Genomic DNA, 27,469 nt, shown 5'->3' on the forward strand with positions numbered 1-27,469 from the left:
TTGGGGCTCTAAGGGCTGGATGAACGCCCTGCAGGTCTCCCTGACCCCAGGACTCTACCGAGATGGCCGCCGGCAAGCTCTGACTGTCCCGAGATACCCAGGTGTGCTGCCACTGCTCTGTCCCCAAGGCCCAGAGGTGCTGGCCACAGAGGTCACCCAGAAGCCACTCGCTGACTACATGCACAGCACAAGCTGTGTCTCTCTGAGCTGCGCCCTCAAGTCACAAAGACAAGCCTGACAGCGCAGCTGCACAGACCCATTTTCTGGAAGGTAAAACTGAGGCTCCAGGGTGACAAACCTGAGAACAGCCCAGAACCAGAACCTCACCAGAGGCCTCACCACAGCCCCTGGCTCAAGGCCAAATGTGTCAACACCCTCCCCAGCACGTGAGCTTCAGGCGCCCTGGATGCAAACCAACAAGGCTTAAAGCCGCCACACACCCCTCACCTTTCTTGGCTGTTTCCATTTCTTCTTCTGTCCAGCGAGAACTCTCATTCAGCTCCATGGAGGCTGAAAAGAAGATGCCAGGTTATTGGCAGGAGCCGGGAGAGGAGGCACTTTGCCTTCTGCCCTTTTCTCTCCTTTGAGCCAGGGAGGGAGTAGACCAGGCCTTGACGGTGTCACCGCACGGCTCTGAACCCCGTGGGAAGGCCACATTTCAGACGCCCCTCCCCAGCCAGTACCCACCGTGGCACCTGACTCCCTGAGCCTTTATGCTGGGCTGGAGCTGTGCTGGGCAGTCCCACGTGCCGTTGGTCGGGGCCAACCTCCACACAAGCCGCTGAAGTCGGGGCACCTGCGATCACCCCATTTTATAGAAGGGGACACTGAAGCAGTCAAGGGCCTTGACCATGACTGCCTCTGCCTGCACTCTGTTGGGAAAGGGGTCACCTGGTGACGTGGCGACAGTGGGACACAAGCTTCAGGTGGGCCGGGACCTCATCTGACCGAGGACCCTCTCGGAGCCCAGCTCTTCTATTACTGTGGGGCTGTCCCATCACGGCAGGATGCTTAGCAACCCTGGACTCTGCACGCTGGACTCCAGCAACCCTACTCCAATTGTGACCATCAAAACTGTTCACAGACACTGCCTGGCGTCCCCTAGTGGGGGAGTAAAATCGCCCATGGCGGAGAAGCCCTGCTCCAGAGGGAATGTTCATACCCCCACTCATCCAGGACAAGGAGGGGCTTCTGGTGTTACTGGGAAGGGACACAACCTGGCCTTGGGGTTGGCTGGAGGTGGCTGCATCTCTGCAGTGGCACTATTTTTGGGTCTGTCTGCCGAGCTCCTCTGGATGTGAGCCCTGGCCCTTCCTTTCCAGTTGCTTAAGACCCATGAGTGGGGTGGGTGCGAGGGACGTCAGCTCCATGGACTCAGCACCTGGAACTGCGCCAGGGGGAGTATGTGTCCAACAGAGGCTGGCTGAGGAGTGGCGGAAGGTTCCAGCAGAAGAGGGGAGACGGCCCCCACCCCCATGGGCAGCCCCATCAGCCCCGACAGGCCAGAGCCACCCCAGCCTCCCCCATCTCTGCAGCCACAGCCTGGGCCTCTCTGGGACCTCATCGATGCTCCCATTCCTCCCCACAGGACTCCCAGAGGAAGCCTACAGAAGCCAGGGGTGCCAGGGGTGCTGAGGGTGCCCAGTGCCAGAAGAGACATGGAAGGCCTAGGAGTGTGTTTTCCACCCTGCGGCTGAGCCCCCAGCATCAGCCTTGGGTCCGAGAGGACTATCCCCAGAGATCAGGCAGGAAGAAAGCCCTTTCACCCTGGGCCTCCAAGTACACCGCCACCAAGAGGCAGCTGGAAAATATCTGCAGGAGCTGCATAGGCTCTGTGGCCAATGGGGCTGAGTTCTAACCCCAGCTACAATGAAATTTTTAGAGAGGGAACGTTTCCTCTCTGAGCTTCGAGTGGGCCATTTATGAAATAGGTCCAAACTACATCCCACGAGAAGAAGAGACAGGTGCATGACCCGGACCCCAGGGGACGGTGGGGGTCTGTGGGAGATGAAGCAGCATCTCCACCCTGAGAATGAGCCCTGGCAGGCGGGGCTTCGGCCTGAGCGCTTGGGCCCCTGGGTGGGTTCCCGCAGTGGCTGGAGGGCTGGACCCTAACAGCTAAACAAAGTAGAGACAACAGACGCACACCGCTGCCCCCTGCGGCGAATCTTGGGAACTGCCACTCACATCATCTCATTTTTTTCTACTTTCTGGGAGGGTAGTGAGGGATGAACACCCTTCTCAACAGAAGGGGAAACTGAGGCCCACGGAAGTGAAGGTACAAAACCAGATGCCTACCAGGGTAGAGGCTGGGTGGGGACAAGTAGAGCCCATGACATTCTAAGAAGGAGTGGTGGTTACTCGGCTCCCAACAACAGCCACCTCATGGGAACCTGGGCCAAGCGTGGCCAGATCTTCTGTTTTAAAAACGACAACCAAAAAATCCGGAACTGGTCACTGGGAATTTTTTGTGACATCTCCCTGCTCTGAAATCACTGTGGTTGAAGCCACTGAACTCTTCCTACACCCCAGGCACTGTTCTAGGTGCTTCTCACATAGCAAGTGACTACAACTGTCCCCCCACGTTAGAGGTAACCACCGATTCCTCCCACTGAGAACATGAGGACCCTGAGGCACAGAGAGGTTCAGGAATTCATGCTGGGCCACACAGCACATCCAGTAGGTAGCGCTGGGATTTGACTCCAACCATGACTTACACCAACCCCTTGGCTGTTGCCAATTAACTCAAATTGCACGAAACTTTCATATGAGCGCAACCCGCCGTGTCTCCAGCCCCTTCCCCACCCGCATCCCTGGCCCCCAGCTCACCCAGCTCGGCGCTCTGCTGGGGGGTGATGGCCTCCTCGCTGTTGGCCTCATTAGCCATTGAGCGGGTGATGCGGCCTTTGCGTCTTCCCTGGCTGTTGGCAGTTTTGCGGCCTTTGGAGGCCACAGCCTCCTTCTCGTCGTTGTCCTCCCCTGAGGTGTCGTCTGTCTTCTCCCTACAGGCCAGAGAGGGGAGATAGGATGGCTTCACCCGAGCCGGGAAATCAAACAGCCACTGGAGGAGACTGTTTCTTTAGCTGGATTTGCACTGGCTGCCAGCCATGGCACTAATCGGACGCTAGGAAAGAGGGGGAGAGGCCTGAGGTGAGGGTGGCCAGGGGCAAGTCTGCAGGGGCTCCATGTTCACCAGAAGTGGGAGTACAGCTGGCAGGACAACACCATGCTATTTCTCAAAAGGGAGTTGCGGCCAGGTGTGCTGGGTCACACCTGTAATCTCAGCACTTTGGGAGGCCGAAGTTGGAGGACTGCTTGAGCCCAGGAGTTTAAGACCAGCCTGGGCAACACAGCAAGACTCCATCTCTACAAAAGAAAAAGATCAGAAAATTAGCCAGGCGTGGTGGCATATGCTGATGGTCCCAGCTACTTGGGAAGCTAAGGTAGGGGGATCTCTTGAGCCTGGGAGGTCGAGGCTGCAGTGAGCCATGATTATACCACTGCACTCCAGCCTGGGTGACAGAACAAGACCCTGTCTCAAAAAAAAAAAAAAGAAAAAGAAAGGATGGGGGTGTAACCTGGGCTATCAACTTAATTCACCAATAAGGCCATGTGGACAGGTAGTTAATTGGCTGGCTATTTTATTCCCCAAATGGGAGGTACTGGGAGCTTTCCTGCAAGGCTACTTTCTTCTGGGCTGGTGGTTATCTGCAAGACCATTTTATGCACCAAATAGAGAGATACTGTCTGCAAGACTATTTGGTGAACTAAATGGGGGCGTGGGCTGGCAGCAATTTATAGGGCCATTTTATTCGCCACAGAGGAGCTATTTCCAGAGGGGCTCTATAAGAGGCAATACATTGGCCTTCAGTATTATCAAGGGCCGGGCATCATCTTAGACATTGGCAGGAGGAAACTCTCTTGCTGGTTTTATGCAGGCCTAGCCTGCAGGCCTAGCTGTGGTGTGTGGGGGTGCTCACAACCTCGATACCCGAGCTGGGGCTCTCGCAGAAGTGACTGGGGAGAGTTTTACTGCGGGAGGCTCAGATTGATCACCTCTGCCTTCCCATTCATCTTCCTGAAAGGCCCTTGCTGGAAGCGTCTGGGAGACGGGGTGAGGAAGCCAGATGTTCTCTGAAGCCAAATTCCTGAGCCCATTACAGGTACCTGGCGCTAAGTCGTGCCGCCCCCCTTTCTCCAGCTGGCTGCACTCCTGCAGCCCCTGGCAGGCACAGGAGGCTGTCACGGCCCCCGCGGTGAGGCTGTGCCTTGATCTGCAAGAACTCACACTGCCATCGATGATTCTAAAGGTGACAGCAGCCGCCTGCACACCTAGTCCTTCCAGGAGGGCCTCTGATCCCCCTTTCCCCCTTCCTGGCGCCTCAGGAGGAAAGAGCGGGAGGAAGCAGGGAGGCAGAGAGTTCCAAAGTCATTGCCTGGATTTATTAGCTCAGGAGTGGAGCTCAAATGAGCTATCAGTCTCTAAAGTCTCCAGAGGGTTGGAGAAAGAAAGCGAGGGCGGAGGAGAGGGGGGAGCCAGGGAGGAGGAGTAGGGCGATGGGTGGGCTTCCGGAAGGGGGGCTGTCAGGGGCAAACGAGCAGAAAGCCCTCCCCCCTGCTCACAGGCAATTGGTGGGCACCCCACCCGTCTCTACAAAGGGTCCCCCAGAACCGTGTGCCACCCGGGTTGGGTCAGCGGCCGGGCCCTGCAGGGGACAGCAGGCTGCCTTACTTGAGGAGGTCTTCCTTGTCGTTCTCCACCTCCGGCTTCTCCTCCTCCTTCTCCGCCTCCTTTTCCTTCTCCTTCTCATCTTTCTCCTCCTGGCTGCTGCGGGGCATGGGCTGCTGCTGCTGCTGCTGCTGCTGCTGCTGCTGCTGTTGTTGCTGCTGCTGTCAGACCCCGGGGGAGGGCAGAGGGGAGTGGGGAGGGAAGAAAACCGTGAACAGGTGAATCTCTGCACCTGGGCTCAGCCTGAGCTGGGGGAGGAGGAGGAAAACCCGTGGAGTCCACCCAGAAGAGGTCATAAACAACCGGGAAGCCAGGCCCCACTGGCATGAGATGGGGAGAGGCACGGCCTGGGGTCTTGCCGCCCTAGGGGCCTGGGGAGGCGGAGTCGGGGTGAGGGGCAGGAAGCATTGGTGTCAGAAGTGCTGGCTTCAATTCCTGCCCTTTCCACACAGTGGCTGTGTGAGCTTGGATGAGGGTCTTAACCTCTCTGTGCCGACTCCTTCGCCTTGACAATGGGGGTATTCAGCATGCCTGTGCCTCAGCTGAGGGCTGGGAGGTTGAAATGAGAGAATCCTCACCATGCTTACATCCGCATCTGGCCCGGATATTTAAGAGGGGCAGATGTGATCTGGGTTGAGAGAGGTGCCCTGGTGAGCCTCGGCAGGGGTGCCTGAGCATCTGGGAAGCTGGGGACACACCCCTGATGCCCCAGCCCTGCCCTGCCCCCGACAGAGCTCAGGCCACCTCTCTAAGCCTCGGTCTCCGAGTCTGTAAAACGGGGAGGTGGGGGGATGCCCCTGATTCCCCAGAGCCCAGGAAGGCCCCAGGCCTGCGTGGAGGTGGCTGCTCTGCTGCCTGGGCCTGGTCTCCCTCGCATGCCAGCACCCCAGGGGGACAGAACAAGCCCATTTTACAGAGCAGATCAGAGAGGCTGGGAGCCAAGCCAGCCTCCTTACTTGGGCCTCTTCCTGTCATCTGCCTCCCCGACCTGTCCCAGCCACTCTGGGCCTACCGCCCCTCCCCTCACCGAGATAGAGGAGGGAGTGTGAGCTCCTCCTGGCACCGCCTCCCGATTTCCTGTCATCCCGCCTGATTTCTTTTAAAGCACACACTGATTTTCTTGGACACCCCAAGGTCCTCCCTGCAGGCAGCTGCCAAACCAGACCATCTTTCCATCCCTCTGAGCCAAGCGAAATAAAAATAAACCCCAAAGCCTTTTAATGTGTACCAGGGGCACAGTCACGGCAATGTTTCAAACCAGGGAGCAAGAACTCCAAGCAGATGGAAGAGGAGGGATCGGGGAGGTGAGAGAGACTCCCTTCTCTTGCCTTTCCTTCCTGCCAGGAACAGGTGCCTGACCCGCACACAACGCTCTCTCCAGCCTCTTTTCATTTAGGATGGGGCAGAAAAACAGAGCAAGTGTCTGACTGCTGCAGGCAACCGTGGGCTCCCTGAGGCTGCTGCCAGGTCCAGGGCAGAGCCTCGGGCCTGCATCTGCCTCTTTTCCCCAGGAATCCCTTGCCACCATGTTCTGTAAGAGGAGCCAGGAAGGGGCAGAGTTGCCCGACCTGGAACAGACCCCCCGGCCCCCAGGTTGCTGCTGATTCCCCAACAGGTGCCCGGCATCCTGGGATCAACCTGTTCTCCCTCTCCTGACCTCGAACCCTCAAACGTAACGTTTAAACAGCCGGCAGGTGAAGCCTCTTTTGGAGGTGGAAGCTGGGGCAGGGAGGGTTTTTTTGGCTTGTTCCTACACAGTATCCTTTCTGTCCACATTTGCCCGATGTGGGCAGAGGTAGGGACCCGGGGAGGGAGGAGTGATGTGGCTGGCTGGGGAGAGAGCCTTGGCCCCTGGGCTGCCCGGCATGGATGCCGTCTCCCCGGGTCAGATGTCCCTGGCAACAGCCCAGGGCCAGAGTCTGGGCAGGGCCGGGGCTTTTGAATCACACGGGCTTGGTGTCTCCTGAGACCACATTCAGCTACGTCTGTGCCAAGAAGTCCCCACCTGGGCTGTGGCGTCCCTCCCGATGGGAGCAGCAGCCACGGAGCCTCCTTCCCAGAGCATCTGCCCATCAGCCCCTGCACCTAGGCTGGTGGGGGCTCCATGACCCCCTGGGGCCTCACCCATGGACCAACGAATCAGGCTAATGTCTGCTCCGGCATGGCCAGTAAATGCAGCTCCACACCCATCAGGCCGCAGGCAGGGGCCAGTTGGGAGAGGGATGCATCTGGGCCAGGCCCTGAGCTACGAGCCTTCCCCACCGCAGCTCTCCTCCAAGTCCTCAGAAAAGCCCCAAGGAAGAAGAGGCTGGTACAGAGGAGAAAATCCCCACAGATCCCCGAGAGCTGACTATGTGCCCAGCACTGTGCTGTCCATTTTCTATGGGCCGGCTCCTGGCCCCTCTGAAGTCCTGATGGAGATGAAAACGCCACGAGTAACACCCCTGCACCATGCCAAGTGCTTTGCAAACACTATCCCAGCCTCAGAAACAGGAGAGCAGTGATCACTGGTCACATTCTGCAGAGGAGGAAACAGGCTCAGAGAGGCAAAGCTTCGAGGTCTCGGAGCAAAGGCTGACGGCCCAGAGTGTGGGGGATGGGGCCCTGCTGCCCCCAGAGCCCCCGCTGAGAGTCTCAGCCAACCCCCAGCCAGGATCTACAGTTTGTGTTCTGCAGACTTGCCAGCACGCCCCATCTACCTATCCCTACCTGCCTCCCACTCCAGACTCTACAAGCCCCGCCAGGGCCTGCCCACAACCCCCTCGCTCCTGGAACGTCACCCCCTATGTCTCCATATTCGATCGCTCATGGCACCACGTGCCTGGCTCCGTCCCACATGGTCTCCCCTACCCACCCACCTGTCCATCTTACAGAACAGGAAACTGAGGCACCGAGTGCAATCCTGGCACCAAGCCTTGCCGCCTCCTCTTCCCTGACATGTTAACAAGCCCCCAGGGCAGGGGTGCCTTCCACCCTCACCCTCTGGTTGGAGTGGGTGCAGCAACACCCACTAGCACAGCACCTTCTGGGCCACCCTGCAGCCAAGGCCTAGGGCCCTGTGCACAGGCTCCTCACTTCCTGTGGCCTCAACATCTCCTGTGGGAGAGGCATCCCTGCAGCCCACGCTGAGTGAGTCCGGTGGGGGAAGATGAAAAGGAGGAATAGCAGAGCAGCCCTGGCCTTAAAATATGCTTTCCAGTGGGACAGACCCCGGCAGCCTTAATGATGAACATCTGCAGGGTCTCGCAGTGGCCACCCGGGAGGCCGAGGGACTGATTGAGGGCCGCTCATACTCGCTGCTGGGAGATTATGCAGGGAGAGGGAGGTCCCAGCTCACAACTCCCCCTGAGGAGCTGGGGGGACCCGGCAGCCGGCTCAGCCCCCAAAGCCTTCTATGTTTTAGGGCAGCAAGTGCAGCAGCCGACACTGGCGAGGCTGGGCTGCTGGGTCTTGGGCCTGTCCATAGAGCGGCAGAACTGCACCTGCTGGGCTTCCCGGGCCACTGGGGGCCATGGTTCTCAAGGTCCCATGACATTGGCTGCACACTCAGATCTCGTGGGGAGCCCTGCGAAGTCCTGATGCCCAGGCCGCACCCCACACCAATGACATCCAAATCTCTGGGCGGAGACCCAGGCGTTCGTATGTTAAATTCCAGGTTATCCCGATGGGCAGCCAGATTTGAGAACCAGTGCTTTACCAGGGACTGGCAAACGTTTTCTGTAAGGGCCAGAGGATAAGTATGCCGTCTCTGTCAACCCCCTTCTCAATTCTGCCACTGTCTTGTGAAAGCGGCCCTTATATCAACAAAAGGGCACGGCTGTGTGCCAATAAAACTTTATTTACAAAAGCAGGTGGTGGGCCGGATTTGGCCTGTGGGCTTTCGTTAGAGCACTCTGCTCCAGGCCAGTGTTACCCACACCTGCAGGTGCACACACATCCCCTGCCAATTCCCACTCAGTCGGTCTGGGGTGGGGCCTGGGACTCTGCATTTCTAACCTGCGCCAGGAGAAGCTGCCACGGCTGGCCTCAGATCCCACTGAGGAGTGAGGCCTTCAAGAATCCTTGTCTCACAAGGCACATAAAGGACTCTGTGCAGCAGAAAACGCCTGTGGGCACCATTCCCTCAACGTGAGGGGACTGAAAGGAGAATCAGAAAGAACTAGAAGCCAGCTCCACTATCTCAAAGGACCCCGCCCTCGTGGTGGAGGGCTACCTCTGCCTTTCAGATGTGCCACTGGTCAGGCTGACAGTGGGTTTGTGCCCTGTGCGTGGTCAGAAACATCCCCCCAAACCACAGTACAACTCTGTGACAAACCCTACTGGATCTATGGTTAGCCAGAGCCACTGGCCCAAAGCCCCAAGAGACACCTGCCCCCAGATCTGGACACTGAACCCATAACCCTCAGCCTGCCAGACAAGCAGCACATGACTGGGCCTGTGCAGAAGCCCCAGACTGGGGGCTATGCAGAAAAATATCTTAATTAAAAACAGCAAAAGCTCGCTGAGCACATTTGATGAGGCCTTCTTCTCCTAATCACTTCCTACCTGTTATTTGAATCCTCCCAACAACTGGTATCATCCCAGTTTTATGGATGAGAATGCAAAGACAGAGGGAGTTTAAGTAACTCATCCAAGGTCACACAGCATTTCCTAGAAGGTCCTACAGCCAGGTGCCCTACCTCCGCCCTGGGCTGGGGGTTCACAGCCTCCTCCCTATGCCCATTTAAACCAAATGATGCCATTGCCTGATTCTTTCCTTCCGCCAGCATAACCTGAACCCCCAAGGGGCACACCAGCCACAGAAAGATGTGGCCCCCAACTGTATGGAGCTTGTATTTAGGTTGACAAAGACAGGCCAGATGGAGGCGCCGGTGACGAGGACACATTCAAAAGGCACATTCATGATGCAGATGAGGCAGCAAGGCGTGCTGACATGCAGGGCGAGGGAAGGGGCTTTGGCAGAGCAGGAGGCCTCTGCGGCATGGCAATGGGAAAATGGCCCCTGTGCCTACCAAGTGGCACTTTGGGGCATGGCTGGAGGGCCTGGCCAGGGCTAACACCCATGCTCAGAAATACAGGAGGCATTCTGAGGGCGGTGGGAGCCCCCGGGGACCTTTCTCAAAAGGTGCAGGGGTCGCAGGGAGTCACATGACCCACCCCATGTTAAAGAGCAATCCAATAGCAGGTCGCAGGAAGGAAGACGGTGGATTCCGGGAATGAGAGGAGACAGTCCAGTGAGAAGGTGCTGCGACCACCCACGTAGGGGTTGATGAGATTTAATTCTCAGATGCTAAGTCCTTACAAATGTGTCAGGAGAACTTCCCAAAACCCAGCAACACCGTCTGTGGCTCAATCTCATGCACTCATTCAACAAACACTTCACTGAGCATCTACCATGTGCCAGGTGCCCCTGAGAGGGCGCATCCTCATGACACCTTCCACCTCCTGGCAGTGTAGGGATGGGGATTCCAGGAGCCTGGGGTTGGTGTGGAAAGTGGGGCCAGGGGTCAGAGCCGAGGCAGAACAGGGTTCCCTGTTGCTGGCAGCTCTTCCCTAACACCTGCTCTCTGTCCCTCGGATTCAGTCTCCTGTCCTTGCTGGGGAAAATGCAGTCAGGGGAGGCCATCTCAGTGCGTTTAAGGGTTGTCTTTTTATAAGATATACCAAGGCGTGGCGGGGCGCGGTGGCTCACGCCTGTAATCCCAGCACTTTGGGAGGCCGAGGCCGGCGGATCATGAGGTCAGGAAATCGAGACCATCCTGGCTAACACGGTGAAACCCCATCTCTACTAAAAATACAAACAATTAGCTGGGCTTGGTGGCGGGCGCCTGTAGTCCCAGCTACTCAGGAGGCTGAGGCAGGAGAATGGTGTGAACCCGGGAGGCGGAGCTTGCAGTGAGCCAAGATCGCGCCACTGCACTGCAGCCTGGGTGACAGAGTGAGACTCTGTCTCAAACAAAAATAAATAAAAAAAGATATACCAAGGCGTGCTGGAGCCAGTGGCTACCAGCTCATGGCCATTATTAAAAATGGAAACACTTAACCTTACAATTAAAGAAATTATGGCCTGGCAAGGTAACTCACACTTGTAATCTCAGTGCTTTGGGAGGGCCAGGCAGGAGGATTGTCTAGGGCTCGGAGTTCAGACCAGCCTGGGCAACACAGTGAGACCCTGTCACTACAAATTAGCTGGTGGTGCTAATTTTAATTAGGTGGTGCATCCCTGTAGTCCCAGCTACTCAGGAGGCTAAGGTGGGAGGAAAGCTTAAACCTGGGAGATCAAGGCTGCAGCGAGCTTCAACTGCACCACTGCACTCTAGCCTGGGTGACAGAGCGAGACTCCATCTCTAAAAAAATAATAAATTTTTTTTAAAGAAAGAAAGCGAAGGTTACAAGCACTCCAAGGGCATTGCTTCCTGATCATCTGGCTACATGGAGCTACGAAGTCATCCGTGCCGTGGAGGTGACTTCCGCCAACTCCATGCACAGGGTGAGAACAGGATAAGACAGCCTGGTGCTAGGGGCATCTTTCCCCAGTTCCAAGTCAGCGGCAGCACGTTGTCACGTGGCACTGGGCACGGTGAGAGGATTTATTTACACCATGGCAACCGGCACATGCTACAAACGCAGCTTCCCCCTACAGAAAGCTGGTTGTTAAACATTTACCAGCACTCTACGGCAGAAAGATGCGTGTCGACAGAACGTGAGCAACATTTAACACGCACATGGAAGCCTGTTCCGCCTGTACAGATGTGTGCTGTGCCAGCCGAGGCTCTGTTGTAAATCCTAATTCAGATCCCGACCCGCAACTCGGCATCAAATCCACAGTCCCTGCTCCTGCTCTGAGGCCAGGATTCCTGGCCCTGGCCCACCTCCCTCAGGGCAGCTCTCCCCATGCCCACCACCTGTCTCCTGGAAGATGGCCCGCATGTTCCTGCTTCAGGGCCTTTGCACGTGCTGTGCCCACGGCCTGGGGTGCTCCCCCGACTTCTGCCTGGCCAGTCCCTTCTTATCACTCAGGTCTGAGCCCAAGGGACACCTCCTCAGAGAAGCCTTGCGGCCAGCTCCCTATAAAAGCTGCCCTCCTGCCCAGCAGTGGCCTCCTGACCCTGGCTTACATGTTTGCCCTTCAACACTCTCTCAAATTGCCATGCTGATTGACTTACGCATGGTCCAAGTCCCCCATGGGTGTCAGCTCCAGGGACCTTGTTTGCCCTTTTTTTTGGAGGCTTGCACATGGTCCAAGTTCCCCATGGGTGTCAGCTCCAGGGACCTTGTTTGCCCTTTTTTTTGGACGCAGGGTCTTGCTCTGTTGCCCAGGCTGAGGTGCACAGTGGCATGATCACGGCTCACTGCAGCCTCCACTTTCTGGGCTCAAGCAGTGCTTCCACCTCAGCCTCCCAAGAAGCTCGGACCACAGCAGCAAGCCACCTCACCCGGCTAATTTTTTAATTTTTTTGTAGAGATGGGGTCTCACCATGTTGCCCTGGCTGGTCTTGAACTCCTGGGCTCAAGCGATCCACCTACCTCAGCCTCCCAAAGTGCTGGGATTACAGGCATGAGCCACCGCACCGGGGTGACCTTGTTTGTCTTGTCCACGAGGGAATCACCTAGAATGACATCCCTGCAGAACAGACTCAAACACCACCCATCCCCCAGGGACAACCTGCCGCCTGTGAGCCTGCCAGGGCCCCTCCCTCAGTGCCTCCAGCTGCCACAGACACCAAGGCTGCTGTTCTGGGAACTACTTCCTGACTCCAGCAGCCCAGCTTGAGATGTCCCCCAGGCCCCCTCGATCCTGACCGATCTGCTGCCTGGGGAGCGCTCACATTTTCCACCTCCTTCTGCCTCTCTGATGCGATCGCCCCTGCACTGCATCCTGGCCCATGCAAAGGCCATGTTGGTCTTTTCCTCAACCTGCAGCCCGGTCTGCTCCATCCCTGGGCTCCGGCCCACTCACCAGCTGCCTTCCCTGGGAGCAACATCCCTGACTGCAGGACGTGGGGAGCCCCCAACTGTCTCCCCACCTAGCACAAAGCTGGGCAGGAAACCAGAGACATCTGCTCACTTCAACCCTAAAACTGCACCCAATCCTGCCCAGCCCAGCTGGCCCTGACTGGAGAGGACCCAGCCACCTCCTCTGGCAGGCCTGGGAAAGTCGGCACCACCGGAAGGCTGTGGGCCCATCCTGGCCCAGCCCCAAGCAGGCAGCAGGTTTGAAACAAGATACAAGCCCTCGGCCTGGGAGCTGAAACACAGCCTGGGGTGATCTGGCCCGCCCTGCCACCGGTCCCCACCATCAAGTGACTTCAGCACCTAGGGCAGGCAGCTAGCCCTGAATACCAACACCCACCGCACAGCGGCTGCCCCTCCCCAGGGACCAAGCCTGGCTGCTCCTGCCCTGGAACAGCCTTCCCGGTCATACTGTTCCCTGTGCAAACTGTCCGAGTGCCACAGCAAGGGGAACAAGGTCACCAGTCCCTCCGCAAAGAGCTGGGAGAGGACAGACGGAGGAGGCAGGGGACAGGGGGCTGTAGTGGGAGGGAGGAGAGAGAAAGGGAGAAAGGTGGGGGAGGAGCAGAGACCTGGAGGAGGAAGGGTGAGAGGAGAGACCCAGGGACAGGGTGAGGAGGGGAGGGGGCGGGGGAGGAGGAAGAGGAGAGATGGGGGAGAGAGAGAAGGGGAGAGAGAGAGAGAGAGCTAGAGACAGAGTTAAAAGACTTAGATGGGGGAAAGAGAGAGAGACGGGAAAGCACATGCAGAGAAACAGACGAGACGTGGACACAGAGATAAAGACACAGAGAAATAGAAAGAGGGAGGAAGACATGGGAAGAGAAACAGACGTAGCCACCCGTGTGCGCGCATACACACACAGAGAGAGAGAGAGAGAGAGAAACCTAGAAAAATGCAGGAGATTCAGAGCCAGGGGCTTGGGCAGAGCAGACCCAGAGGGACAGAGATGGGGAACAGTGGAGAGTGGACGGCAGCAGTCGGGGGCGGAGCCTCGGCCTCCCTGGGCTTCCTTCTTGGACCCAGGCCGGATGACTGGAGCCCAGGACGGGCTGTTCCCGTCTCAGTGTCCCATCTCTGCAGAAAGAGAGGCCCCCTTGGCCACATGAACCCCCATCGCTGCGGGAAGGCCATATTGGCTACCAGGGGCCGGGCCCTGCCACCTGGCCTAGCCAGCCTCACATCCTCGCTCCCCAACGGTCTGCAGTCAGGCCCCAGCATTCCTGGGCTCTGGTTTTGCAATTCACTAGGATAACGCGGCCCTTCCATCAATGAATCATGGACTATAAACCACTGTGCCAGCGCTTGAGCTGTTCCCCGCACCGCCCCACAGTCCGTGATTCACCTCAGGGTGGTGGTGATGGGGCTCGGAGCCCAAGAGAGGATGCTCGGGCCTCAACCCAGCCTCCAGGCTCAAAAGCCGCTCACGGCCGATCTCAGGGGCCAGGTTCCGGGAGGTGGGGGCTCGGCCCTCCCTTGCCAAAGCTCAGGCCTGTGGGGTCTCATGGGGGTGGGTGTGGAGGGGCTAGCATTCCAAAAGCCTATGCCCGGGCCTGCATCCCCGTGTCAGAACACAGAGAAGCTTCCAGAAAGAGGATGGCACCCTCCATTAAACAAGAAGGCAATCCCACCACTCTAAACAGCCATGCACATCCCTCGCCTCCAGCCGGCCACAAGGCTAAGCACCAGTGCCATGGATGCCAAGGTGGGCCAGAGTGAAGGCGGCCGCACACAGCGCGGGTCTGAGTCCAGAGACGTCCCATGGCCAGCACTTTTAATCAAGGACTTTCATATTCCACTTTATAACCATCCAAGTTTCAGAAACGTAACCATCGAAATGACACACAAACTGCTTTGGTACAGGGCACATGGTGTCGGGGTGACAGGGCGGAGAAGGGCCTGGTGCAAGCACTTCAGACAGGGCAGGTGTCCTTGAGATGACACGGTGGCACTGGCGTCTTGCTGCTGGGCTGTGGTTAAGCATTCGGGTGGCCACAGCATCTATGAAGCGTGGCTTTGCAAACATGCAGATGCACAGGCTGCCTCCTGGGCTGGACTGGCCAGACCTCCCTTCTAGAAGGGGCTGGCTGCCATCGGCTGTCAGGCGCGCTGACAATAACTCAGCTCAGAGCTGCCTCATCCAAGTTGGGCCCTGGCCAGGGAGGCCGTTGCCCACCCCAAACACCTGGGAAGGGCCGTTCCAGCTTGAGTGTACTCCCATGGGTGGTCTGGGCTGTGGGGTAGCCCACCTCGGGCTTAACAACCCCTTCAGCCACCCTGCTCCCTGCTCAGGGGCTGACCCCCAGCACCGAGGTTCTCAGCAGCGTCCTAGACCAACGCCTGGGAGCTCCTTGGAAATGCAGAGTCTTGGATCTCGGCCTTATTGTGGGGTGAGGGGTGCGGCCCAGTGACTGGGTTTCCCCAGCCCTTCCGGTGATTCCGACATGCACTCACATCTGAGGACTCAGACTGGGACACGTCCCCTCACAAAGCAGACCTTGGCCTCAGACAGGGGGAACTCCAGGAGGGCACAGCCCCAGGATGCTGGCTACAGCCATCCCAGCGTGGTCAGTGGTGTCTGAGGAAGTCGGAAGCCTCGCTGCCGGGGAAAGTGCACGGTCCAGTGTCCCTGGAGTCACTTCTCACCCCCAGCCCACAGGCTTCCCCTCCCTCGGGATCCCACCACAGCCTCCATTTCAATCCCACCTTGACAAATGGCGAAAGGAGGGGCACCCATGTCCTTGGTCCTGGGCCATGCACCCCCCAACTCAGGAAACCCACAGGAGGCACGTGGGCGCTGTTGACCCTGGGAGGGGCGGTCGTGCCCACTCCCCGACACCTCGGAAGTCCTACCCTGTGTCCACCTCTGCAGCGTGGAATCAGGGCAGTCTGGGGTGTTGAGATGGGCCAGGCGCGGCTGATCCCTTTACCCTATTTTCGGAAGGATTAAGGTCGGATTCGCATCTGAAGGTAGAGTCTGACAACCCTGGCATACAGTAGGCACTGAATAAATGCCCCCGGATGAACATGCATATACTGTGCATCCGATGGGCACCTCCTGGGGGGTCTGTGGGGCGAGCAAGCTTGGGGACACGAGGCAGGAAGGCCCCTGCGAGCGGCCTCTGTCCTGGTGACATGAGAGAGGCCACTCGTGCCTGTCTTCAGCAGAGATGTGGCCTGGAGCCACGGGCACCGCGCCAGGACCACAAGCACCACAGCCTCTCTGCGGCCACCCACAGCAGCCTCCACAGCAACCCAGGAGAGAGGGGCTGTGCACTGGGAGTGGGGGTGCTGAGAGAGCGCAAGAGACGCAGAGCGGGAGACAGAGATGGGGAGGAGAGACAAGGCGGGAGAGAGGGAGATGAGGAAGAGCCCTCAGCAACTCCCCAAAGACATATATGGTAACGGCGGAGGCACTGAGAGAGAAAGAGACAGTGGCCAGCTGCTGTCCCCAGGAGCTGAGGGACACATGGCAGGGGAAGAGACACAGGTGGTGGCGGGGGGTACTGAGCCCCCCCCACCCCAGGACTCCCACCCACCCCATATCAGAGGGTGTCTCCACAGCACAGATCCAGCCTGGCTCACCTGGGGTCCCCGCATCCAGCATCCGACTCCCCACTGACATGGAGCCTCATCATGAGCCCCTCTGCCGCCTGCCCTCGCAGGGCTCCTGCACAGACCACAGGAGAGGCCTGTCCTACCTGGCGGATCAGGGCTGGCTTCCAGAAGGCTGGCTTTATGGCCAGTGTGCTGCCGAGGGGACGGCTGGGCCTCCCTCCAACTCCCCGGGCTGCATGTGCCAGGCTAGAACCCTCAGTCTGCCACTCAGCAGGCTCCTTGGAAGCTTCCTCACCTCCCTGTGCCTCTGTCTCATCTGGCCAGTGGGGATAATTACACACCTGTCCCCAACACTAGTGAGGTTGAAATCATCACAGTGTGTGGCGATAGTGCTGCATGACTGTTGGCCGGCACCATCACTGTCGCCGTCATCATCACCATCATCGCCATCGCCACCATAGCGGCCAGCAGCACCCATCCCCATCACACAGCAGGGCCAGGTGCCCCTGGAATTTTGACAAGGCTCCCATGTCTCACTGGACTCCCAGGTCCCATCCCCCACCAGCCATCAAGGGGTCCAATGCATATTGGCTGAGATAACCTAAGTCTTCTTCCAAAACTAGAGGGCCCAGGAAGGGAGGGAGAACCCGACCTGCTGCCCTCCAGGTAAACATCACGGAGAAGGGAGCTTGAGCTCCCTCCCACTAGACGACATCGGGGAAGAGGCAGACAGCATCTCCTGGCAGTGGGCACCCTACCCCTGAGGGTGGGTGGGCTCACTGGCTGGGAAGACCCGGGTTCTCCATCTTCCCGTGGTGCCTGGGGAGGGGGCCCATGTCACGGTAGGGGGAAGGGGCTGTGTCTGCTCACTCAGAAACCTATGAGGGAGAGAGAAGCATGGACAAGTGTCCTGGGGCAGCTGTGAGGGGAGTGGGGCTGGGCAGGGGCTCGTGTGCTCCATGGCCAGGGATTCCCATCTGATCACAAGGCCTGAGCTGCCAGGATAGGTCAGAAAGAAGAACCGGCCCACAGAGGTACCCTGGGTGCCTGCATTGCCTGGAGCACAGGGCAGTGGCTCCCCAGCCCACAGTCACCAAGAGTCCCAGATGCCTGTCCCAGCCTGCAGGTGCCAGCCATGCTGAGGCAGCGGGGTAGTGGGTGGGGAGTGGTCTCAGTTCACCTCCCCACCCTCCTTAAGGAGCTGCAGGTTCTGTGTGCTCACAGCCTTGGCGCACTCAGAGACCACCACTGCCTGCACCTCCCGTCCGTCACCGCAGCCTTCCAAGCAGCGGTGCTGGGCCCACCCCAGGCCTGCTGTGCCCTCACCTGGGGCAGACTGATCAGCAGTGTCAGTGGCTCCACAAATACAGCCACAGACAGAGACGCTCAGCTGGCGGCAGTCACTGCATCTCCACTTAACAAGACAGGCTGAGCCTGAAGCTGCCGCTGATTTTCCTTGCTGCCATGGGGCAGAGAGGACTCTCAGCCCCAGAGTTAGCACTTGAGAACCCCTGTTTACCCCGTGGTTGTGAACCAGGCCTGTGGGGGGTGGCAGGGCCCAGGCCACGCCACCACCTCCTTAGCAAACGCAGCTGATCCGAGGAAGGGGCGAGCCCTGGAGACAGACAGGGACCTCCTGCCCGGCTTGCTTTCTGCCATCTTTCTGAGAGACGCAGAGCAGACAAGCATCATTTCCCCATCCTGGGAGCCCCTGCCTGGAACGGCAGCTTCAGCAGGGGATAAAAACTCACCAGCAAAGCCCCACCAACTCCCAGGCACCGCAGATACCACGGCTAAACCAGGACATCTCCGGTGTAAAGAGGGGCATGTTTCCTCCCTGCTATGGAACATTCTAGGGCTTCCCCGGTGCCCCAGCCTGGCCCCAGACATCTAATGCCCTCCTCCCCTGGTCTCACTGTAGTCTAACCCAGAGGTCTTCTACTTGGGGCTGGGGGTGATTTCAACAGCAAGTAAGAGTTGTGTGGCATATACAGTGTTGAGCTGTTTTTTCCCTTTTTAAAAAATGTGACCTAAGATTTAAAATCAGGCAGTTTCACATAAAACTGGATTTCCAGCTCGTCATCAAAGATCAGAACACCTGGCAATTCAGGGCCAATGGCCAAGCGTCCACTGGAGCTGAGACGGGGCCCAAGCTCTGCAGTGAGCCACAGGCCTCACCACTCCCTACTCCCTCCCCAGACACGAAGGCAAGTGTGAGCTGTTATTTATCGAGTTTGCACTTCTATTTTTCACAGGGTAAAAAAAAACATCTCTATTTACCCATCAAAAATGAGCAAAAGAAAGAGGGTCACATAATCTCCCTTTCTTTGTTCCTTTAAGGCCCTGGGAGGTACCGGGACCCCCACGAATCCAAAGACTCAGGCCCCCTGCTGTTCCTGAAGACACGCGCTGTCTCTCATGCTCCCTGCCTTTGCACTTGAGGGCCCCATCCCTGTCCGCCTGTGGGGCTGCTCCTCAACCTCATCTTTGGGGCCTTTTATTCTACGGAGTCTTCAAGGATGTGCCACCAATGCCACCTCCCAGGGAGACCGGCGGCACAGGGAGACCCCGCGGCACAGGGAGACCCGCGGCACAGATAGACCCCGCGGCACAGGGAGTCCCCGCGGCACAGATAGACCCCGCGGCACAGGGAGTCCCCGCGGCACAGATAGACCCGTGGCACAGGGAGACCCCACAGCACAGGGAGACCCGCGACACAGGGAGTCCCCGCGGCACAGATAGAACCCGCGGCACAGGGAGTCCCCGCGGCACAGATAGACCCCGCGGCACAGGGAGTCCCCGCAGCACAGATAGACCCGTGGCACAGGGAGACCCCGCAGCACAGATAGACCCCGCGGCACAGGGAGACCCCGTGGCCCAGGGAGACCCCGTGGCACAGATAGACCCGCCGCACAGGGAGACCCGCGGCACTGTCTTGAAGCCACCTGTTTACAATGGCTCTGAACAACCAGCATGAAGCTCCCCATGTCCTGCACACAATAAATGCTCAATCAATGGATGAGTCAGCAAGCTGGACATTCGCTCCGCCCAGAGCAAGCCGGACACTCACTCCTGAGAGCAAGCCGGACACTCACTCCACGGAGAGCAGGCCGGACAGTCACTCCACGGAGAGCAGGCCGGACAGTCACTCCACGGAGAGCAGACCAGACACTCACTCCACGGAGAGCAGGCCGGACACTCACTCCACGCAGAGCAGGCCGGACACTCACTCCACGGACAGCAGGCCGGACACTCACTCCACGGACAGCAGGCCGGACACTCACTCCACGGAGAGCAGGCCGGACACTCACTCCACGAAGAGCAAGCCGGACACTCACTCTACTGGACACTCACTCTACCACAGTACAGGCCAGGCCTCTACAACAGGATATGCCGGGCACCGACACCCCCCACCCTTCTTAAATTACCATGGTCTCCCCACCTCCCTCTGTGCAAATGTGGCTCTCACACAGGGGGAGGGGATGGGCCTCTGCTCTTCAGAGCCCCCAGCCCAGCTACCAGGAAGGGCTCCCACCACAAGCCCAGCCTCAATGCCCCCAAACAGGTCATGGGAGGGGAACTGGGAAGGCCAGCAAGAGAATGAGCATACAGTAGGGGCCCAACAGACGCCTGATGATGTTTTCCAAATACCTCTTGAGGCCGTTAGCCACCCTTCCTTTGTCATAATCCCCACCGCTCCCTGCTGCCTCTCATACCTCAGCATCTATATACTCCCTGACTGGCACTTACCTTTTTGCCTCTCAGTCTAGAAAATTCCTGAATGCACTTCAATTTCAAAAACACCGTAGCGGCTGAGCACAGTGGCTCATGCCTGTAATCCCAGCACTTTGGGAGGCCAAGGCAGGTGGATCATCTAGGTCAGGAGTTCGAGACCAGCCTGGGCAACATAGTGAAACCCTGTCTCTATTATAAATACAAAAAATTAGCAGGATGCAGTGGCACGCACCTGTAATGCCGCCTACTTGGGAGGCTGAGGCATGAGAATCACTCTAACCCAGGAGGCAGAGGTTGCAGTGAGCTGGGATCGCGCCACTGCACTCTGACCTGGGCGACGGTGTGAAACTCCATCTCAAAAAAAAAAAAAAACAAATCCCAAAAAAACAAAAATAAAACATAGCTACGTCTTTGGAATACATGCTCTGTGCCACTCGGCCTTGGTTTTACACATCTGTTAGAAGGGCAAGCAGACTGGTCAACTCTGGCTACAGAAAACTAGACAAGAAAACCCTCTCCACAAACGCAGCCACCCTTCCACGATCCCTGCGGATAAGGACCGAGTTCAGCCCCAGGCATCGTGGCTGGATGTTGGGAATGCGGCGAGGGGTGGCTCATGCTCCTGACAACAGCCTCGTTTCCCTCATGGGAGTTTTCTTAGGCTGTAGGAAAGTGGCTGTTTCACGGCAGACACTGGGACCCCGCCCCCAACCCGTGATGGCTGGTCTCAACACCTTATGGGTCTCGACCTCTGGCAGCCTGGGAAAGGGAAGGCGGGGCAGCTCTGGGGAGGGGCTAGAGGGTGCCACTATAGGGAGTACCAGCCACCTTCTCCCACCTGCAGCCTCTCCAGGCACAGTCCAACCAGCCTTGTGGGTGCAAAACAACGGCTTTACCATTCTCTGGGGACACTTTGTGTCTACCGGCCACCTGGAGCTGCTCCGGGCCTGGGCTTGACACAAAGTGGGCTTTAGGCCTCAGGTCCACACAAAGGTTTGTCCAAAGAAGATGGGGACTTGTAGGCCACACGTCTGGCTTGGCATTAGGGGTGTCAGAAAGCAGTCAGTGACCCTCAGAGGGACCTAGAAAAGCTGGTCCCTCCAGTCCCTTTGAGGCATGCCACTCCTGCCTACGAAAACTTCACTGGGATGCCAGGCACGTAGTGCTTCCAGAATCCACCCCCAGTTTGCAAGGACGCTCCACGCGGCTCGTGCTATTCTTGGCCTTTGTCACTCTCACCCGGCCCCCACCCCAGCCACTGAGGACCCCAGGAAGGAAATGCCTCGACCGACTCCAATCCAGCAGCTGCCAGAGTGCCCACTGCCTCCACCCGCCTCCTCTGTGTGGTGCTCCCAGCATCTGCTCTGAGACGATGCTTCAAGAGCCCGGATGCAAAACAAATTCTCCCAAACACCGAGCGCCCAGGATCCCCCTTTCAAAGGCGTGCCACTGAGCCTCTCATCTCTACCATTATTTACTGGATATTTTTTCAAACCAACTCCTTTTCCTCTAACTCGGAGGAAAAAGCAAACTTTTTCTATGAAGGGCCAGCTAGTAAACATTTGAGACCCTGTACGCCATACACTTTTGGTCACAACCATGCAACTCCACCAGAGCAGCAAGGACGCTGCCATGGTAATATGTAAACAAACAGGCATGGCTGTGTTCCAATAAAACTTTATTCACAAGAACAGATGGTGGGCCGGATTAGCCCCAGAGTCCCAGTCTGCCAGCCTCTGCTCTAGCGTAAATAATCTTTCAGTCTCATCCCAAGCAACGGCGTCTGAAAAAACGGCGAGCTGAAGTACTGGCTATTTTTTCTTTCAAGTATGTATTAAGATAAACACACACAACCATTAACATTTTAAACATGAAGTTTGTGAACTACCCCAAGTCATCCTGGGAAGCTCTTACTTTTGGAATGTAGCCTTTTTACGCACAGAGATCACAGGTCACCCAGTCAGGAGTCTGGGATTTCACAGGCTGAGGAGGCCCGTGGCTGTTTCTCCCCAGCTATCTTCCTGGCCACTACGGGAGGCTCGAGATAGCCTGGCAGGGTGAGCACCCCAGAGGGGGTCTCCCCACATCTGCTGCTACCACGGAGGGGAGCCTGCACTCACACTGCCGGTGGCCAAGCAACAACAACTCATGGAGACAGTTACCGCCAGCCATGCGGGGTGCTGGCCACCAAGCAAGTGGCCGCTGAGCATGCAGGGAGCCTGCAAGGACAGTCACCCCCACCTTGCCTCTTACCTGGCTCTTGCCGCGGCGCCGATAGCTCCGTCTCACCAGGCTCTTATAGTTCTCATTCTTCTTAGTCAGGTAGTAATAGAGGACGCACTCAGCCACTGTCTGTGGGACAGAGAAAGAGGACGCTGAGCAGGGTACAGCACAGGCATTCAGGGCAGGAGCCAGGAGCTCACATCCTGGGCTCATATCCTGCCTCTTCCACGTACCGGCTGGGTGACCTCGGACAGATGACCTAACCTCTGTGTCTCAGTTTTCTCATCTGTAAAATGGGAATGCTAATTGTACATACTTCACAGGATTATCACAAAGATCAGATCAGTTAATACATAGGTAAAGTACTTGGGACGAGGCCTGGCCCAGAGCAAACATGATGGAAGTCTTTCCTGTTATCACAGTCACCGCTGTTGCTATGGTTAATGACAGCGCTGACGTCGCCATGTCACCCCCAGCCCTTATGGGAAACAAGGACTCCAGCCCACAGCCGGGCAAACTCAAAGCCTTCCCCAAACATAGGTCCGGGTTCTCTTTTCCCTGGCTTCAGCCTTCTCTTCCCTGATATTTGAGGTCCTGAATAGCCTCTTCCAAGCCTTGTGCATCGGGACCGCCCCACGCCCCACGCCCCACGCGCCTCTTCCTGGGTTTCCTTCTTTTCTCTGCCTTGGTCTTTTCCATGTAGATTGGGTCTGAAAGCCGGAGCAACCAGCCCTCCATGAACCCCGGCCAAATGGGACGAGTAAAAGGGGCAGCCTCAGAAAGTGATGCCACGATGCCCCCACTTGCGGGCATGGAGCCCAGCTTGCCAATGCCCACAGCCGTTCCCCTTACAATGTAAAATGTTTCTGCAATGCTCTGGCCAGTGCCAAGCCAGGACCCCACCTCCAATGGGCATTCTGTGAGGCCTCTGAGCTGGGCCTCAAATCTCACTGCCCTCAACAGAAAGCCCCCAGCTGGCAGCCTCCTGCCAAGTACGACCGCCAGGGGGGCTCCCAGGCGGCCCCAGGCTAAACCCAGCCCACAAACATGGCAATCGAGAAAGACGTTTTATAATCAGATGCCAATATTTGCAATTCAGGGGATGTGGGTGCCCGACTTCTCCTTTAACAATTCAAGAGAGCTCCTTCCTGCGCTCAGCAATGGCAGCCCGGCTCCGGACAGCAGCTGCCCCCGCAGACGGGCACAGACTGGCTGGTCCACCTGGCTCCCAGCCAGACGTCAGCCTCACTCACTGTCAAGACCTGACTGTCCCCGCCGGCCTCTCCGTTGGCAGCTCCTGCTCCAGACCCCTCTGGAAGCTCTACTGAAGCCTTGTCCTGGGCTGCCTCTCAGCCAAAGAACATCATGAAGTTTACTCCCCAGCACAAAGACTTCTAATCCCCTCATCCTGAAGGAGGACTGCTCGATGGCCAGTTTCTGAAATGCTTCCATCCTGGGGAGCCCTAACCTAGAGTCCGCCGTGCCGTCCACTCCCTGAGGGAGACGTCGTCACTCAGAAGATGGGCTATTTATAGGGCTTGTTTCTCCACACTGGTTTTTCAGGCATGGAGAGATTTTTCCCCACTCTGCTCGGTCTCTCTCCTTCTACGGTTATCAGCTCATGAGGGGCAGGCGCTGGGAACAGCTGTCCTTTAAAATAAGTGCCTCATCCTCCTGGCCTCCCTCCTACAACCAGGAAGCCCGAGCAGGGTGTCCACCAAGCTGGGGTGGGCAGGTCCCCATCTCTGAGAAACGTGATTCAGGGGAATGCTGCTTAAGACACACGGACGGCAGCCTTTCTCCTCTGACCCCAAGATGCTGGGGGAAGGCCCAGGGGCCACGTCCAACATGCAGCCTCATCCAGCCACCTTCTCCCACCTGCAGCCTCTCCAGGCACAGTCCAACCAGCCTTGTGGGTGCAAAACAACGGCTTTACCATTCTCTGGGGACACTTTGTGTCTACCGGCCACCTGGAGCTGCTCCGGGCCTGGGCTTGACACAAAGTGGGCTTTAGGCCTCAGGTCCACACAAAGGTTTGTCCAAAGAAGATGGGGACTTGCAGGCCACACGTCTGGTTTGGCATTAGAGGTGTCAGAAAGCAGTCAGTGACCCTCAGAGGGACCTAGAAAAGCTGGTCCCTCCAGTCCCTTTGAGGCACGCCACTCCTGCCTACGAAAACTTCACTGGGATGCCAGGCACGTAGTGCTTCCAGAATCCACCCCCAGTTTGCAAGGACGCTCCACGTGGCCTTTGAGGAGCTGGCAGGAGACCCGTCGGGCACACGGGGCTCCAGGAAGCCTGGCCGTGCAGCTCTCCCTGGGGTTCTCGGGATTCCCAGGTGCTCAGCAACCTGAGGCTCCTCCTCCATGGGCCCAGGAGGCCAGGGCGGGGCCTGCACTGATCTATCTCCCAGATGGAAGGAAGGGAGGGAGGGAGGAGGGGAGCATGGCAGCTGGAGCAAGGGGCCAGGCAGGCCAGGGCCTTGTGGGCAAGGAGGGAGGGCCTCCACCCTGAGTCCACGCAGTTGCCCACGGAGGTGGAGACCGAAGGGGTATGGGGCGGGCAGCGACTCACCTTCCTCTCCAGGAATGATGCGATCAGGCCAAAGTTCTTGGGATGCTGCATGAACCTGCGGGACGAGAAGGGTGGGCGTGAGACCTGGCCGAGGGGGGCTTTCCTGCGGGGCAGCCGATCGGCTCCCAGGCGCCTGCCATCCCCACTGGCCGGGCCTGGCGGGCACCGCCCCACTTGGAGCAATTAAGCCCAGGGGGGTGTGGGAAGGGCTGCTGCGGCAGACGGGAGGGGTGGGGACCCAGGGGTAAGAGAGGGCGTTCCTTGGAGTGAGTCACTGGCTTTAGCGCCTTTGAAAATATATTTGTTTGTCCTGCTGGAGGCGGCTTCCAGGAAAAATGAGGACACGACATGCAGCTCTTTGGTGGGGTTCCCCCCCCTTTAAAATCCACTTTTGTTTCTCTCTCCAGCTGGATCTGGGAAGCAGGGCCTCACCCAGCCCACACAGGGTCTGCTTGGGAACATGGCAGGGCCCCACCAGTGGGGTCATAGCTCACCAGGCTGCTGGGCCTCCCCAGAAGAGCTGGGAGCAGAGGCTCTGAGTGCCCGTGGGGCAGCAGGAGGGGGCTGGCCAGCCAAGGAGGCGGCAAGCATGGACTTAAGTCGGAGGGCGGTGGCGGGTCGCTGGCACTGTCCCAACTGGCTTCCTGCGTAGCCAGGAGAATTACTGGGAAACCACTGGGCCCAGGCTGAAATGTGAGGGCCAAAGGAGCGGGAGCATGGTGGGGGCGGGGATGTGGGTCAAGGCCTGCTCCACCCCAGGGGTGCTGGGTGGAGTCCCTGGCCCCAGGCCCAGGCGTCCCGGCGACGTGCCACAGCCCCACAGCCTTCGCAGGGAGAGCAGCGGCTGGCTGCTAGTGAGGCTGGACTGTGGGCTCCCACGGAGGGAGGCTGAGTGAGCACCAGTGCCCGACCTGCCTGGCCCTCCAGATGGCTGGGCAGGAGGCCAGCAGGCCCCGCGCCTGCTTCCCAGCCAGACATCCGAGGATCCTGAACAGTCTCTGCTCTCTTCCCGGTGGAAGCGGCGCAGTGAGGAATGGCAGGCTTCCCTGGCCTGGGATCCCACCTCGGGCGGCTGGCAAGGCCGGAGCCATCCTAAGGCCCTTCTCTTCCAGGTAGGGAGAGTCCTTTCCTCTCCGCTCCCTCTCCTTGTCCCAGTGACATTTCCTTCCCTGCAAACCCCTCCCACGGGGTTTCCCCAGGCACAGTGGGGGCTCCCAAGAGACCAGGAATCAAACTTGGGAATCTCCTAGGTCCCCTGTTCCCCTCCCTCAATACCTCACTTGCACCCCTGGAAGACGTTTATTAGAAGTTTCCTATGCCCTGCATACCTCACAAGGGAGGCCCTGTCGCTATACCCATTTTACAGACGAGGAAATTGAGGTTCAGAGGGGGAATGGTCACATGGCCAGCACGTGGTGGAGCCCCATGCCGTCAGTAGGTGATTTTCAAAGCCCCGAGTGCTATCAATTCCTCTGCACATGAGACCTCAAACCAAGCCCACAGTCCTTGAGGCATGCAAGTGGCCAAGTTGCGGCTCACACAGGATGGAAGTTACGCCAGCCCCACGGGCCGGCAGATAGCAGCCCAGCCTGGGTCCCCCACCCTTCGGTTACTGAATTAACAGAGGGTGACATTATCAGACCTGCAGAGCCACATGAGATCTTCCGAAAGGCTGAAGCCGCAGAAAGTCTCCCAGAACACCTTTTTTTTTGTATTTCAGAAAAAATACATACACTAAAACATCATGCCTACCAGGGGGAACGTGAATCTCAAACGCAACAGTAATTCAGTAATTCTTAACACCCGTGACCGTCCCACCATCACCTCCCTCGTTCAAAACTGTAAGAAGCATTCGACGGAGACTTTGATTTGACGTAGAAAGATCGTGCCTGCTATGGTGAGGCTGCAGGCACGAGCCATTAAGTAACCGAGTATTCCTGCTCAGGAACCAAGCGCTGTTTCCTGTGAAGGACCACTCACTCGGTGCTGTGGGCACTCCAGGGCTCATTACCCCACCCCTCTATTCTTATGGACGTTTCAACATTTCCATAATCAAAAGCTACTCTTAAAAAATGTTTTCCACCAAAGACCCTCCTGGATAGCCACTGTGTCCTTTCTGAGTTCGGTATCTGCACTTGCGGGTCCACTCACCCCTGCCGGGGACCCAGAGTCACCCCATCCCTTAGGTCCTGCCTGGCACCTCTTTGGGGCCACAACCCTGGACCAAAGCCCAGGGCACTGGGGAAGGAGTGTCATTGCTTTGGAGGAAGCTCTTGTCCGGAGGCAGGGTCTTCCCCAAGGCAGCTCAGTAGCCTGCCGGGTGAACGTCGGGCAGTGACAAAGTCTCTTCCCTGCGTCCCCTCCTGGCCAAGCACAGAGGCCTCCGTCCACACCTCAGTTTCCCACTCTCCTGCCTCCCAGAGCTCTGAGGTCCTGAGGAGGTGCTCTATGTCCTGGGCAGGGAACCCAGCCCTCTACGTGCAAGTGATTAGAGCAAGCTTGTCCAACCCACAGGCCACATGCAGCCCAGGACGGCTTTAAATGCGGCCCAATACAAATTCGTAAACTTTCTTTAACCCTTATGAGATTTTTGGCCAGGCGTGGTGGCTCACGCCTATAATCTCAGCACTTTGGGAGGCC

The 27,469-nt window shown here is 57.9% G+C and overlaps 1 protein-coding gene and 1 long non-coding RNA gene across 4 annotated transcripts in view, besides 6 other annotated features; one reads left to right on the forward strand and one right to left on the reverse strand.

The window, feature by feature from the left end:
* Positions 1-27,469, reverse strand: part of NCOR2 (nuclear receptor corepressor 2) — a 243,198-nt gene that overhangs the window by 73,257 nt on the left and 142,472 nt on the right. For all 3 annotated transcript variants that reach the window (NM_001077261.4, NM_001206654.2, NM_006312.6), the window contains exons 14-18: positions 24,830-24,884; positions 22,286-22,384; positions 4,733-4,890; positions 2,830-3,002; positions 448-510 (exon numbers count right to left, since the gene is read on the reverse strand). In NM_001077261.4, coding sequence (NP_001070729.2) covers positions 448-510; positions 2,830-3,002; positions 4,733-4,890; positions 22,286-22,384; positions 24,830-24,884 — 548 coding nt within the window. The remainder of the gene's footprint in view (positions 1-447; positions 511-2,829; positions 3,003-4,732; positions 4,891-22,285; positions 22,385-24,829; positions 24,885-27,469) is intronic.
* Positions 1,516-2,015: an enhancer, noted in NCBI's record as "H3K4me1 hESC enhancer chr12:124883733-124884232 (GRCh37/hg19 assembly coordinates)". NCBI's record gives its function as "activates a minimal SCP1, AML or CMV promoter by ChIP-STARR-seq in naive H9 embryonic stem cells {active_cell/tissue: H9 hESC(naive)}" and the evidence as "EXISTENCE:reporter gene assay evidence [ECO:0000049][PMID:30033119]".
* Positions 4,971-5,615: an enhancer, noted in NCBI's record as "H3K4me1 hESC enhancer chr12:124887188-124887832 (GRCh37/hg19 assembly coordinates)". NCBI's record gives its function as "activates a minimal SCP1, AML or CMV promoter by ChIP-STARR-seq in naive H9 embryonic stem cells {active_cell/tissue: H9 hESC(naive)}" and the evidence as "EXISTENCE:reporter gene assay evidence [ECO:0000049][PMID:30033119]".
* Positions 5,616-6,259: an enhancer, noted in NCBI's record as "H3K27ac-H3K4me1 hESC enhancer chr12:124887833-124888476 (GRCh37/hg19 assembly coordinates)". NCBI's record gives its function as "activates a minimal SCP1, AML or CMV promoter by ChIP-STARR-seq in naive H9 embryonic stem cells {active_cell/tissue: H9 hESC(naive)}" and the evidence as "EXISTENCE:reporter gene assay evidence [ECO:0000049][PMID:30033119]".
* Positions 14,524-15,151: an enhancer, noted in NCBI's record as "H3K4me1 hESC enhancer chr12:124896741-124897368 (GRCh37/hg19 assembly coordinates)". NCBI's record gives its function as "activates a minimal SCP1, AML or CMV promoter by ChIP-STARR-seq in primed H9 embryonic stem cells {active_cell/tissue: H9 hESC(primed)}" and the evidence as "EXISTENCE:reporter gene assay evidence [ECO:0000049][PMID:30033119]".
* Positions 15,152-15,780: an enhancer, noted in NCBI's record as "H3K4me1 hESC enhancer chr12:124897369-124897997 (GRCh37/hg19 assembly coordinates)". NCBI's record gives its function as "activates a minimal SCP1, AML or CMV promoter by ChIP-STARR-seq in primed H9 embryonic stem cells {active_cell/tissue: H9 hESC(primed)}" and the evidence as "EXISTENCE:reporter gene assay evidence [ECO:0000049][PMID:30033119]".
* Positions 24,952-25,246: an enhancer, noted in NCBI's record as "tiled region #11802; K562 Activating DNase matched - State 1:Tss". NCBI's record gives its function as "activates a minimal TATA promoter and a strong SV40 promoter by Sharpr-MPRA in K562 cells {active_cell/tissue: K562}" and the evidence as "EXISTENCE:reporter gene assay evidence [ECO:0000049][PMID:27701403]".
* LOC124903044 (uncharacterized) lies at positions 25,641-26,916 on the forward strand. Its single transcript, XR_007063508.1, has 2 exons — positions 25,641-25,941; positions 26,550-26,916. It is a non-coding gene; the product is annotated as an uncharacterized LOC124903044 (long non-coding RNA).

Source organism: Homo sapiens, chromosome 12, assembly GCF_000001405.40.
Source record: "Homo sapiens chromosome 12, GRCh38.p14 Primary Assembly".
In the NCBI taxonomy this organism is placed as follows: Eukaryota; Metazoa; Chordata; class Mammalia; order Primates; family Hominidae; genus Homo; species Homo sapiens.